General features: G+C 40.3%; 1 protein-coding gene across 4 annotated transcripts in view; it reads left to right on the forward strand.

Annotated features, from left to right (window-relative positions):
- SCN8A (sodium voltage-gated channel alpha subunit 8) overlaps positions 1 to 15644 on the forward strand; it is a 221632-nt gene that overhangs the window by 124909 nt on the left and 81079 nt on the right. For all 4 annotated transcript variants that reach the window (NM_014191.4, NM_001177984.3, NM_001330260.2 and 1 more), the window contains exon 12: positions 5405 to 5767. In NM_014191.4, the coding sequence (NP_055006.1) occupies positions 5405 to 5767 (363 nt within the window). The remainder of the gene's footprint in view (positions 1 to 5404; positions 5768 to 15644) is intronic.

Below are 15644 nucleotides of genomic sequence, written 5' to 3' on the forward strand. Positions count from 1 at the left end.
TGGGCAACATGGCGAAACCCTGTATCTACAAAAAATATAAAAATTAGCCAGGCGTGGTATGGCACATACTGTGTGGTGTGGCACACACCTGTAGTTCCAGCTACTTGGGAGGCTGAGGTGAGAGGATCACTTGAGCCCAGGAGGTTGAGGCTGCAGTGAGTGATTGCACTATTGCACTCCAGCCCAGGCAACAGAGTGAGACCCTGTCTTGAAGAAAACAATAAAAAATAAAGTAGAGCATAAATATTCTGAAAGGGGGTTTGGTGCTATGGAAAGATTAAGGAAGTTAGTAGAGGAAGAAGCAGAAGGGCTGGATCATGGAGAACTGAGAGGATTTCCCCAGCTGAAAATGGAGCGTGCACTGGAAACAGAGGAAATAAAGACCTGCGGTAGGGTGGCTGCATGGTAGGGTGTATGAGAAAACAGTGAAAGATGAAGTAGAATAAGTAAATTAGAGTCAAAGCTGGGAGGGTCTTGAATGCCATTTTTATGACGGTGTGATAGTGTTAAAGGTGATTGTGGCATTTAGCAAAGGGGCCATGAGTACCTGAGTCCTGTGTTTTCCTGGCCATATTTCTCCGCAGTGACGCCCTCAAGAGAGATATATGTGCCCAAGGCACCGGTTATTAACACCTGGGCTTGTACGCTGAACCTCAGTGTTCTATGTTACGCTTGCCTTCAAACTTGTTTTTCATGTACAGATCAACCAGTCCAAAGCCCACATTCCCAACTACCTCCTTTATCTAACTCACTCACTAAGCCAATATTTCCCTTCCCTAAATCACCCCATAGCCAGATACCAGACAAGTAGTTACCACCTCTGTAGGCCAGAGCCTTCCAAAATTATTCAAACTCCCCAATCCTAAACTTGCTCAGACTTACCTATCCTGCCTCATCCCTTCCTTCCTGAGGAAACCACAGGCTCAGGCTAAACTTTCCCCCTCACTCCTTCTGCTTCCTGACCAACACTTATATTTCCCCGTATGGCCCTCCATGGCATGGCAAGCCCACTCCTCTTGGGAACGGAAGTAACGAACTCTTCTTTCAAAGGCAGTTGCCTCTGTGTCTGTCACCTTACCGTGATCTGATTAAAACAAAATCCCAAGTACATCTTAAGACACCATCTTCTGGCCAGCCACATTGTTTAGAGCAGTGTTTCTCAAGTTACCTGTGGTAAAGGACTCATTTCTATTTTTCCCAATTCTTCATGAACTGATACTATTGTAAAATACAGTAACAATCAATTTCTAGAAAAATCATCACATTCTTAGATGTTATGACTGTGTCTAATTGTTACAAAAGTTTCTAAATGCCCCTCTCAGTTTCCTTACTTGTCTCATTGCAGACCAATAACAAGTCATGTACTAGCTGCCTGTGAATCACACCGAGCAGAGCTGGTTCAGGGGAATTAATCAGTGATTCAAAGGGGGTGCCCAAACATACATGTAAGAAGAATAGTAAGCTTACCAATCCAGCAACATGGAAGAAGGACGTGCAAGGGCTTCCTCTGTTATGTGCTCCTTTACCACACAGCGTATGTGTCCTTTTAACACACAGTGACAACATCTACTCATAAATGAGGCTCAGTCAACATTCTGGAATCTAACCAATGTAGCTCCTTCTCTCTGGTACAAGGATGAGGCAGAAGAACAAAATAAGTCAGGGTCATCCTGTTTTCTAGAGACCTATATATAGCATATGGCATGTATCTAACAATGACATTTATATATAATTATCTATGATTAGTGCTTTTCTTGATGTGGTCCCCAGTGATCAAATTCATTTATTGTCTTAGAAGTTCGTGGGTTGCTTAAAGCCAAAGCAGGAAAAGCCTACATAACACGTGAAAGATACAGGTGAGAGCATGGAATAATATGCAACTAGAATTATCCAAAGAAAATATACCAATCTGGGGACAGGGGCTTTGTACATTACAAGAAGAGACAGGATCTAAAGTATAGAACCAGAAACGGAATTGTAGCCAACAAAAAGATAAGGGCAGAAATGTTAAAGAGGAGCCCCATAGCCCTTCCAGTGTTAACATCAAAAGTATTAACAGGCTGAGCGCAGTGCCTCACTCCTGTAATCCCAGGACTTTGGGAGACCAAGGCAGGAGGATCACTTGAACCCAGGAGTTCAAGATCAGCCTGGGCAACATACAGACCCCATCTCTATTAAAAAAAATTTTTTTTTAATTAGCCAGGCATGGTGGCACATGCCTGTAGTCCTAGCTACTTGGAAGGCTGAGGCAGGAGGATGCCTTGAGCCCAGGGGTTTGAGGCATATTTCTGTTTTACATATTTCTGTTATGAGTGAAACAGAATTATAACTGGGGATGTTGAGATGTTTTAATTTCAGGAGATTGTTGCCCTTGCAATACATACTAATACATTTATTAACAGTGAAAAATGGGATCATGCTTTTTCAAATGAAAATAAATCTAATTTAGCCAATTGCTCTGACATTGAGGACTGACTGCTCATTAGATCATGTGATTGAACATTTTCAGAAATGAGCTAAATCTGTGACTTTAAGGTAGATTTTGATGAAAATATATTTAAATCATGTGATAAGATAAAATCATATTAAAAATAAATGTTGGCAATGATGGAAAGACATTAATAATATTTTGATCATTTCAACCATCTATTGGGTTAAACGAGCTTCCTTTAAGTACAAGAGTAACTCATGTGAGAATAACCCACATAATTATTAGTAAATAATACAGCTTTTTGATGTCCTCAGAAATCAAGAAAGGGAATGTGTGTAGGTAACAAATCTTTTGGCAAATTGAGTTTTCAGTTCTTTGCTTTCAATAAAATTGGAAAAAGACTTAATTGCCAGCCGATAGATTATTACAATAAATTTTGCTGATAGTTTGCTATATATTTTTGGTATATAACTTGGAAGGAGTCCAAAGAATTGAGTGACATTACTATAACAAAGTTCTTCCATTCCAAGATAATATTTATGTGAATAAGGTTTTAGCACATAAAATTGATTATTAGAAAGGTGGGGAGGATTGATGTTGAGCCATGTCTCATTCTAATAATAAGTAATACTACCAACAAATATTTAAACACCAATTGAAAAGAAAATCTCATCCATCTTATTAAGAAATGCATTTTAATACAATTTTCTTTCTTAAGTCTATTACCTATAAAATGTGTAATATATTTCTATAGCTTGATCAATTGTATTCATAAGAATATTAATAAAAACTCAATCCAGGAGAATTATTTAAATGTCTTAAAGACTCATGCTCATAGAAAATTTTTAATAGTAAGTACAGTTTATTTATAATTTTTTGTATAATTTGTTGGAATCATAGCCAACAAAAAGATAAGGGCAGAAATGTTAAAGAGGAGCCCCATGGCCCTTCCAGTGTTAACATCAAAAGTGTTAACAGGCTGGGCGTGGTGCCTCCCTCCTGTAATCCCAGCACTTTGGGAGGCCAAGGCAGGAGGATCACTTGAACCCAGGAGTTCGAGATCAGCCTGGGCAACATAGAGAAGTAAATTCAGGGGTGAGCAGTAAAATACATTAAAACATAAAAGTGTACATTCAAATAAAATTCCCTAGGGAATATGGAAAGGAAGCATGAAATTGAAGGAGAAGAATAAATAAGAAAAAATTTATGCTAAAGAATTCTTGGCCGGGCGCGGTGGCTCACGCCTGTAATCCCAGCACTTTGGGAGGCCGAGGCGGGCGGATCACGAGGTCAGGAGATCGAGACCATCCTGGCTAACACGGTGAAACCCCGTCTCTACTAAAAATACAAAAAATTAGCCGGGCGTGGTAGCGGGCGCCTGTAGTCCCAGCTACTCGGGAGGCTGAGGCAGGAGAATGGCGTGAACCTGGCAGGCGGAGCTTGCAGTGAGCCGAGATCGCGCCACTGCACTCCAGCCTGGGCGACAGAGCGAGACTCCGTCTCAAAAAAAAAAAAAAAAAAAAGAATTCTTTAAGTAAATTTCTTTACCACAAACTTTACGGTAAACAAGAGTTTTATTTAAAAACATCAATGCCGGATATTATATAACTTACAGCTGTTTGAGAATTATATACTTTACAACTATGTAAACTTTTGATGAAAAAAATATGTTTAAAATGGGGTGGATGGAATACTATGCAGCCATAAAAAGGATGAGTTCACGTCCTTTGTAGGGACATGGATGAGGCTGGAAACCATCATTCTGAGCAAACTATCACAAGGACAGAAAACCAAATACTGCATATTCTCACTGATAGGTGGAAATTGAACAATGAGAACACTTGGACACAGGTTGGGGAACAACACATACTGGGGCCTGACATAGGGTTGGGGGAGGGGGGAGGGAGAGCATTAGGAGAAATAACTAATGTAAATGATGAGTTAATGGGTGCAGCACACCAACATGGCACATGTATACATATGTAACAAACCTGCACATTATGCACATGTACCCTAGAACTTAAAGTATAATAATAATAAAAGAAAAGGAAAAGTAAATAAATACATAAATAAAATGGGGTGGGAGGGGGCATATATAATTTTCAACTGAACTAAAAGGCTTGAAGGCCACTGTTGGAGTAGTAGTTGACCAGGACATGTACTTGGAGAGAATGGCAAATGATACAGGCACGTTTTAAATTCTGTCTTTTTGGCCAGGAGCGGTGGCTTATGCCTGTAATCCCAGCACTTTGGGAGGCCGAGGCGGGTGGATCACCTGAGGTCAGGAGTTTGAGACCAGCCTGGCCAACATGGCGAAACCCTGTCTGTACTAAAAATACAAAAATTAGCCAGGGCGTGGTGGTGGATGCCTGTAATCCCAGCTACTCAGGAGGCTGAGGCAGGAGAAGCTCTTGAACCCAGGAGCTGGAGGTTGCAGTGAGCCAAGATAGCGCCACCACACTCCAGCCTGGGCCACAAGAGCGAAACTCCATCTCAAAAAAAAAAAAATTATATATATATATATATATATATATAATATTTATTTATTGTTATATATATAATATTTATTTATTGTTATATATATGATAATAAATAAATTCTTTTTGCCCAGTGTGGCGTAGTCTAACTGAAGTTAAAGACACCTCCTCTGAGCCCATGGTAAAAAGAAATACACAGCCATGTGCTTTACCCTGGATAAGTTGTGTATAATGTGAGATAAAAGCATCTTAGGGATGCGTGCAAGAACAGTGGGTAGACGTTTTGAATCCGTAACTGGTCAAGCACAGGTGAGTAACAATGGGTGATGAACTGTAGCAGTCAACATGCAGAAGTGCTTTCTGGAAACACTTGTGTTCTGATCACAGGAGTGCGAGGGTGGGGCCGGCTGGGAACCTAACCACTTTGCTCAGTATAAAGGTCCACACTCCCGTCTCATTTCCCCGTCCCTCTCTCTTTCCCTGTCTGCCCCTGCAGTCACTGCTCAGCATCCCAGGCTCGCCCTTCCTCTCCCGCCACAACAGCAAGAGCAGCATCTTCAGTTTCAGGGGACCTGGGCGGTTCCGAGACCCGGGCTCCGAGAATGAGTTCGCGGATGACGAGCACAGCACGGTGGAGGAGAGCGAGGGCCGCCGGGACTCCCTCTTCATCCCCATCCGGGCCCGCGAGCGCCGGAGCAGCTACAGCGGCTACAGCGGCTACAGCCAGGGCAGCCGCTCCTCGCGCATCTTCCCCAGCCTGCGGCGCAGCGTGAAGCGCAACAGCACGGTGGACTGCAACGGCGTGGTGTCCCTCATCGGCGGCCCCGGCTCCCACATCGGCGGGCGTCTCCTGCCAGAGGTGAAAATTGATAAGGCAGCTACCGATGACAGTGTAAGGAAGAACACAAATAGATCGAGGCTAGGCATGGCAGTCTCCCCCGCTCCTTCCCCTCCTCTTTCCCTGCTCTGCCCATCCCACTTGGTCTGTCTGGACCCCACTCCTGTTAACACCCCAGCCATTTCTGTGTTCTTCCTGGCCTATTTCTATTTCTCTCTTCAGTTTTCCCCCTATTACTCACCCTGTCTTCTCCTTTCCTTTATTCTTTGCTCCATTTTCCCCATCTTCCCTCCTTGTTTCTGACATTCCTTCTCCCCTATCAACTCCTTCCTTTATTTTACCGTTTTCTTTCTCTCCATCTTTATCTTTGCTAGTCTGTGTGCTTGTGTTTCCCTCCTCCCACCTGCTTTGACTGAATGCCTCTGGCCCCGGAGCCTGCCCGGATGGAATGAGAATGCCATGGAGCCACCACCAATGACCAAGTCTGAACCGGTTTGGAACTACCATTGCTTCTCTTCCCCCACGTCTTCTACCCTCCTAGGGAAACAGCTTGGAATTTAGAGATCTTATCCTTTAAATTTCAAAAAAGTAATTGAGTTTTGAATAATGTTCTAAGTCTCCTCTGCAAGAATGAGATGTGCTTTTTCTAAAGAGGAATGCTCATGTGATGTCAGGGTGGGAGGTGTGTGCCAGCAGAGCCAGGCAAGGAGAAGTTAAAGAGGCCAATAGGAAACTGGACCCAGACTTTTAAAAGGGATTGAAATTGAAATAAATCAAAGGAGGAAAAAGTGGGAGGTTGGGGCAAGAACACATTTTATATGGGGGAGGAAGGAAAGGGGAAGCAAAAGATGAATTTTAAATGTAATCAAATGTCAGGCTCTGGAGGAGTTGCATATAATAGCTTCACAAAATCAGTTATCTAGAGGTTTGGATAATGGTGCCCCTCTTTGGGAAGAGCCATCTCCTAACATTTCTTTAAATTCTAAGCTGTTTGTATCTTTTTTATTTTAAAATTCTTATAACCTTAGTGATCCTAATCCTTCATACCTCTAATTTCTAACTTTCCTCAGTCCCTCTTCAGCTGGTATAAACTCCTTGAGATAGCATGTTAGTCTATTTCTTTCTAACACTTCAGTTTCTTCTAACACAGCATGAAGATAGCCAATCCTTTAATTAGCATGATGCATGTATGGAGGAAAACTGGACAATCATGGATAAAGTTTATTGAATGTATAGATAAAATATCAAAAGGCAATTTGTATGTGTTTGGGATTGTCTAGTCTCGCCCTTCCCTTTTATTTAAAAGCAAAATACAGCCGGGCACAGTGGCTCGCACCTGTAATCCCAGCACTTTGGGAGGCCAAGGAAAGAGGATCACATGAAACCAGGAGTTGGAGACCAGCTTGGCAACACAGTGAGACCCTGTTTGTACAAAAAATAAAAATAAGAAACATTAGCCAGGCATGGTGGCATGTGCCTCTATAGTCCCAGCTACTTGGGATGCTGAGGCAGGGGGATCACATGAGCCCAAGAGTTTAAGGCTACAATGAGCTATGATCACTACATTTCAGCCTGAGTGACAGAGTGAGACTCTATCAAAAATAAAATAAAGCAAAAATACTCTCCCCCTTATGTTTGTATAGCTTTTTATAAGCTACAAATTACTCTTACATGCATTATTTAATTTGTCCTAAATAAAAATTCTGGGCTGGGAGTGGTGGCTCACGCCTGTAATCCCAGCACCTTGGGAGGCCAAGGCAGGTGGATTGCTTGAGGCCAGGAGTTCGAGACAAGCCTGGCCAACATGGTTTGAAACCCATCTCTACTACAAATACAAAAGATTAGCCGGATGTGGGAGGCTGAGGCAGGAGAATCGCTTGAACCTGGGACAGGGAGGTTGCAGTGAGCCAAGATTGCGCCACTGCACTCCAGCCTGGGCAACAGAGCGAGACTCCATCTTAAAAAAAAAAAAATCTGTAAGGGTGACTAAGTGAAGATTAATATTTCTGTTTTTGAGATGGGGAGAAGGTTCAGAGAATTTGTGTTCCTTTGGGTCTTACAGCTCATCACTGATAGAGCCAGAATCTCAGACCCCTCAGAGACCCTAATCTTCCGTGTGCCAGTTAATTTTAATTTGTTCTCTGCCTAGACACTTGGCCGTTGCTCTTCTCAAGACCTACTTATTTAAGATCAGCAACAGTAAGAACAATAATAATCCTCTGGTTTCTCTTTAGATTGTATAAATCTTTCACTTTTTACAACAATAATAAACAGTGGGCCGGGCACGGTGGCTCATGCCTATAATCCCAGCACTTTAGGAGGCTGAGGTGGGCAGATCACCTGAGGTCTGGAGTTTGAGACCAGGCTGGCCAACATGGCAAAACCTCCATCTCTACTAAAAATACAAAAATTAGCCAGGCATGGTGGTATGCGCCTATAATCTCGGCTACTTGGGAAGCCAAGGCACGAGAATCACTTGAACCTGGGAGGCGGAGGCTGTAATGAGCCAAGATTGCGCCATTGCACTCCAGCCTAGGCAAGAAGAGCAACACTCTTGTCTCAAAAAAGAAAAAACAAAACAAAACAAAACAAAAACAGTGGCTCCAGATAGTTGGCCAAAATAAATGTTATAGATACTTATCTTTACATTTAATTTTTATTTGACTTTCACTAATTCTGCGAATAGGGATAAATTTTGGGCTCCACAGTTAGATAATTATGTTCTCCGAAAAAACAAGAGATAATATCAATGGCAAATGAAGGATGGATCAACATGGGCAGTAGAGTTGGGGCAATTCAAATGTTTAGAACCAAATTGAATTTTGATATACTGGCAGTTTTTAAAAATATTTAAGCCAAATAATGCAGCTTGCCTTTTCTCTGAATAAAAAGGTATTAGAGAAGGTATTCAGAAAGAAGGAGCTTAAACTTCAGCTGAAGAGAGATGATCAGGTTTAGGGGTTTTGTTTTTGTTTTTTTAGCACCTTCTGTTACACTGTGTGGGAGAAAAAAATTGAGAGTCAGTTAAGCAGATGGCTGTGGAATGTAAGGCTTTCTGTACTGCTTTACACTGTGGTCTATAAAGGTCTGCATTTGGGTTTTGGGGGATCTACATACCCAGCACCCTATAAACACTTAGGAGGTTCTCTGTAGTGACCTCAAGTGAGGATGGTGACAGACTTGAGAATTCCCAAAGTCAGGAGGTCACAGTGGCAGGAAGATGAGGTAGGCAAGACCATATCATTCCCAAGGGCCTCATAACTAGGAAAAACTATTTTTATTTATGTATTTATTTATGTTATTAGAAGCCATAAAGAAACTGTTATGGCTAGTTGTTAACGGTGTGGGAAAATGTCTAAGTTACATTAATAGGCCCAAAGGAAGAAAACAGCAAAACAAGATGCATATAGTTTGTGTGGTATGATACCAAATTATATAAAGACAAACTACATAGAGAAAGAAGATGACCAGCCAATAGTTAACAATAGTTGCCTTTGAGAGAAGAAATTATGGACTTTTTTCTTCCTTATACTTTTCTGTTCTTTCTGGTTTTCTGTAGTGAGCATAATGATTATAGCCATCATATATTGAGTTCTTATTATACTATGCTGAGCATTTTATATACATTATCTCATTTTATTCTTATAATCACTCTATTCAGTAGGTGGTTTTATCCTATTAGCAGATGAGACTCAGAGCGCTGTAGTGACTTGGGAATTGGACCTTAAACCATGGTCTTTCTGATACCAAAAGGAACTTCCTGACAGCTTAAATATTAGCTCCTTTAGAAAGTGGGAAAAACAGTCACTTATCTTAGAAGGACACAGTATATTAAGACTTTTATATTATTCAGGATTATAAATTTAATTATGAATATTAAGAGATTCTAATTGCTTAATATCTCTTAAATTAACTAGAAGCCCAAGACAGATGAAAATTAATACCTCTTGGGGCTAGGATTTAGTGATTGTTACTAGCAAACATTTTGGATGCATCCACAGCCAAGGATTAACCTGAGCAATTAGAATGCATCCAGTTGTGTATACTCACGCTTCACAGAGTGGCATAGGAGCCACTGATAGTGCACGCACTGGTCTCACACAATATTCCTGCTTAGGCTATGCCAAATCTATATTTTTTCCTTCAGGCTTAAATTAAGAAATAGGCTGTAAGAAAAAAAGACATTCAGACATCACTTCATTAGTCTCATCAAAAATTATTTTATATCTTCATTAGTTATTCAGTTGTGATTGAGTGTTGAGATTTTTTGATCATTTTGGAATTTCACCTTTGCTTTTTGCTGAAGCAGAAGATAAAGGGACTTTTTCCTGCGTCTCCATCTCTGAGCTGGGAAAGTAGGTGAGAATCATTTCTCTTCACTCATTGCCACTAGCAATCCAGAAATCACATGCAATTGAGAAATCATGTTGAGGCAGCTTGCAAATGTATAAGCATTATCTCATTTAATGCTTACAGCCTGGACCTTATGAAACAGATACTGCTATTGGCTGCATCTGACTGAAGAGGAAGCCAAGGCTTAGAGGAATAAAGTAACTTGTCCAAGATGGCACAGTAAGCAGTAGAGTTAGGACTGAATCCAAGCAATCTAACTCCTAAGCTTTTACCATTAACCATTACAATATACTAACTCTGAAGCCCAAGTTCTGTATTTGTGCATATGATCCTGGGAAATTCTCTAAGCCATTTTCTTCTCTGTAAAAAGAGATAAAAGGACCTCTGTTATAGGGCTATTGTGAAGATAAACTATAACATATATATGTTATTCATATATAATATGCTTCATATATAAAGTGTGAAGCATATTATGTGGCCCATTCTTGCTGTTCAGAAAGCCAATTTTCATTCCTTTTCTTACACATTTTTGGCCCTGATAGCTCTGAGAAGTAAACAGTACCGAATTGCTTGACTTGGAGAAGGTGGGGCTCCTTCTAAAAATCCTTTGTTTGAGAAAGAGAAATTATTGTACAATTATTTTAAAGCAAAACACTATGCAAATTTGAGAAAGGCTTGGGAAGGGGATTATGGCTAGGCTCTAAGGATACTTATAAAATGCCATAAGTTTTAATTCCAAGAAAGGTGACTGGCTAATAAACGTCCAGTTATGTATTTCCATGTGAAAACAATTTAGAGTCAATAAGAAGTCAAACTTCCTTGGGCAGATCTCTAGAAATGTGGGCAGAATCTGCCATCTGCAGCTATTGTAGGATATCTCTTTGAAAAGGACTGCTGTAATTTAGGAGGTTGGAAGTCAGTGGCTAAATGCCCAAATAAACAGCATTTGGGTTAAGAGAAATGGAACAAACTTGTACGGGGTTTAACTTCCAAAGAACTTACTTAAGGTTTTCAGTTGCTTCCTCAGTTACTGAGGGTTTTTCCTCCAAGGCTTCTTACAGGTTGAATTAAAAAAAAAATACAAGGCTCCTAACTTTAAAATGTTAATTCTCCTCCCCACTCACCAACAACACAACACAAAACAAAAAAACTATACACCTCCATTTGCAAAAAAAAACCAAAAAACACTGAAAAGATAGAGAAGGGGAGGGAAAGGGTATGTGATCTTTCCTCTGGCCCTTGGATCTCAACATAGTTGGAAGAAGCCCTCTTCCCACTGCCAGGTGATGAGAATTGTGCAGCTGAGCCTGTAACAAAGGTACATCTCACGGAAGCCCAAGCAGAATTCTAGGTGGAAGCTGACTATGAGAAGCTGACAGTGAAGCTGCTTTACCTGGGAGAGAGGCTCCTCCAGATTTTCTTCCCTTCAGTTGTCTGATTTAACATAAATAGTAGCTCATGCCTGTAATCCCAGCACTTTGGGAGGCTGAGGCGGGCAGATCGTTTGAGGTCAGGAGTTTGAGACCAACCTGACCAACATGGTAAAACCCTGTCTCTACTAAAATACAAAAATTAACCAGGCATGGTTAATCTCAGCTACTCGAGAGGCTGAGGCAGGAGAATCACTTGAACCTAGGAGGCAGAGGTTGTAGTGAGTGAAGATTGCACCACTGTACTCCAGTGTGGGTGACAGGGCGAGACTCTTTCTCAAAAAAAAGAAGAAAAAGAATAGCCAAGAACCTAGCCTTGAAATCCCAGCTTTCAAAACCTCACTTAGGGAAGAGGGCCTGCTCACCCGTGTTGGTGTACCCTAAGTTTAACAGATTAGATTTTCCTGGTAGTACAGATATATTGTTCTCTAGACACCATCTTAGCCCCCTCTCAGCACTTTTAGTGATGTCCTTCATAGACAATTTTAGTTTGTGTCATGTTAGTTAACACTGGTGAATATATGTTTGCCCTCTCTCTCTTCATGAATCAGCCTATTTTGATGAATACTATGAGACATCTACAAATGGACAATGACTAGACCATGTAAAAAAATAGAACGTTGACCCATGACCTGCCCAAGAAACCATCCCCCTTATCTACAATAAACAGTCCAAGAAGCCAGCCTGTTATAAGTCAAACTTGCAGGAAGCCAGGTTGCTGTCTCTGATGACAATCCAGGAAGCTAAGTAATAATTTCTGTAACAATAGTCCCCTAATGAGAGCCAGGCATGGTGGCCCTTACCTGTAATCCCAACGCTTTGGGAGGCTGAGGCAGGAAAATTGCTTGAACCCAGGAGTTTGAGACTAGCCTGGGCAACATAGTGAGACCTCATCTCTTCAAAAAAATTAAAAAATTAGCTGGGTGTGGTGTCACGCACCTTTAGTCCCAGCTACTTGGGAGGCTAAGATGGGAGGATCACTTGAGCCTGGGAGGTCAAGGCTGCAGTGAGCAGTGATCACTGTACTCCAGCCTGGGCAACAGAGGAAGACCCTGTTTCCCAAAAAAAAAAAAAAAAAAAAAATTCCCAAATGGCCAGGACTTGATTCATAACTGACAGCTTTCCTTAATTTTTGTTCCCATTTTCAACTTAGATTCAACCAGAGACAGCCAAACATGCACCCCCCAACCCATCACACGAGATGTCCCACTTTTTATTACCTTGACTACAGCTTCCCCATGCCAACAGCCTCCATTCAAGCCACATTTCAAGCCTTCCCTTTTCTCACCTGTAAATCTTTGCCACTCCTCTGCCTGCCTTTGAGTTTCTGCCAAAACACAAATGGCAGTTATGGTGGCGGACTTCCTCAGTATAGCAAGGTCTAAATAGCGTTTGCTTTTCTCATTTGGTTGATCTTTATTTCCACAATACAGATAATATTTTATACATATTTTATACTCCATATTTTTGCATTCCATATTTCTTCTCAAAGGAATTCTGCATAATCAAATTCTGGTAGGACATTGGGTAAGCCGCACCCAAGAGTTAACCAAAGTTGTGGGTAAAAAGGAGGTGGAGAAGGAGTTATCTGAGCAATTGAGGATCATTCCCTAAACCCATCATTACCATAAGACTCTCCTAAAAAGTACTCTCCTACCCGTTTCTAATCAGTTCCTTCCACTTCAGGCAACCACTTCTGACTCGTATCACTATAGATAGATTTGTTTTCTTTTGTATGTGTAGACTCATACAATATGTATTTGTATTTGACTGCTTTCAATCAACAAGATATTTTTGAGACATATTCATGTTTTATATACCAGTAGTTCATTCCTTGTTATTGCTGAGTGGTATTTCATTGTATAAACATATCCCAATTTGTTTATTCATTCTCCTGTCGATAGATGTTCCGGTTGCTTCCAGTTTGCAACTAGTGTGAATAAGCTTGCTATGAGCATTCTTATAAAACTCTTTTAGAACATAAACGTTTTCATTTATATTGGGTAGATACATCAAAGTGAAATTCCTGGGTCATATGGTAAATGTATGTCTAATTTATAAGAAGTTGCCAAACAGTTCCTCAGAATAGTTACACCATTTTTTTATCCCACCAACAATGTATTAGGGTTACACTTGCTCCACATCCTAGCCAAACTTGCTGTTGTTAGTCTTTGATTTTAGCATTTTAATGCATATAAAATGTTGTTTTATTGTGCCATTAATTTGCATTTCCTGATGACTAATTATCTTTTCCTATGTTTTTTGGTTTCTCATACATCTTCTTTAATGAATTGTTTATTCATATCTTTTGCCCCTTTTTTGACTTTTTATTATTGATTTGTTTTTTATGTTCCAGATACAAGTCAAATATAAAAATGTTTAATGTTAATGAAGTTCAGTATATCAATTTTTTTCTTTTATGATATGGCTTTTTGCATCCTGTTCAAGGATGCCTACCCCCAAGAACATGAAGATATTTTACTTCTATAAGTTTTATGGTTCTGAGTTTTACATTCAGGTCTCCAATTTATCTCAAATTAATTTTTGTGTGTGAAATGAGATACAAGTCAACCTGGATAGATATCCAGTCTGTTAGCACCATTTGTTCAAGAGACTTTCCTTTCTCCATTGAAGTGACTTGGCACCTTGGACAAAAATCAATTGATGTATATGTGTGGGTCTATTTCTGGACTCTGTTCTGTTCCCTTGATCTGTTTGTCTATGCTTATGCCAATATACATTTGTCTTGAGTATTGTAACTTTAATTCTTGAAATGTGGTAGTATAAGCCCTAAGAACAAAAAATAATATTTTTAAGATTATTAAATAGCATCTCTAGAGATTATTTTCCTATTCTAGAGCCTTTGCATGTCCTTAGAAAATTTTATTTAATTTCAGATTTTTGTGGGTACATAGTAAGTATATATATTTATGAGGTACATGAGATACTTTGATACAGGCATGCAATGCTTAATGATCACATCATGAAAAATGGGATATCCATCCCCTCAAGCATTTCTTCTTTGTATTACAAACAATCCAGTTATATTCTTTTAGTTATTTTCAAATGTAGAATTAAATTATTTTCACTACAGTCACCCTGTTGTACTATCAAATACTAGCTCTTATTCTTACTTTCTAACAATTTTTTTTGTACCCATTAACTACCTCCATCTCCCCGCTACCCTTCCCCACTACCCTTCCCAGCCTTTGGTAACCATCCTTCTACTTTCTATCCTCAGGAGTTCAATTGCATTGATTTTTCGATCCCACAGATAAGTGAGAACATGTGATGTTTGTCTTCCTGTGCCTGGCTTATTTCACTTAATATAATGACTTTCAGTTCTATCCATGTTGTTGTAAATGACAGGATCTCAGTCTTTTTTTATGTCTGAATAGTACTCTGTTGTGTCTAAGTACCACATTTTCTTTCTCCATTCATCTATTGATGGACACTTAGGTTGCTTCCAAATCTTGGCTGTTATGAACAGTGCTGCAACAAACTTGGGAGTGCACATAGTGCAGATAGTGCAGTTATCTCTTTGATATACTGATTTCTTTTTTCTTTTTCTTCTTCTTTTTTTTTTTGAGACAATCTCACTCTGTCGCCCAGGCTGGAGTGCAATGGCACAATCTCGGCTCACTGCACTGTTAACCTCTGCCACCTGGGTCCTATGTTCAAGCGATTCTCCTGCCTTGGCCTCCCAAGGAGCTGGAATTACAGGCATGTGCCACCACGCCCGGCTAATTTTTGTATTTTTAGTAGAGACGGGGTTTTACCATATTGGCCAGGCTGGTTTCAAACCCCTGACCTCATGTGATCCACCTGCCTCAGCCTCCCAAAGTGCTGGGATTACAGGCATGAGCCACCACGCCCGACTGGATATATTGATTTCTTTTCTTTTGGGCATATACCCAGTAGTGGGATTCCGGATCGTAAGGTAGCTCTATTTTTAGTTTTTTGAGGAACTTCCAAACTGTTCTCCATAGTGGTTGTACTAATTTACATTCCCACCAAGAGTGTACAAGAATTCCCTTTTCTCCACATCCTCTCCAGCATTTATTATTGCCTATCTTTTGGTTAAAAGCCATTTTAACTGGCATGAGATTATATCT

The sequence above is a fragment of the Homo sapiens genome, chromosome 12, assembly GCF_000001405.40.
Source record: "Homo sapiens chromosome 12, GRCh38.p14 Primary Assembly".
Lineage (NCBI taxonomy): Eukaryota > Metazoa > Chordata > Mammalia > Primates > Hominidae > Homo > Homo sapiens.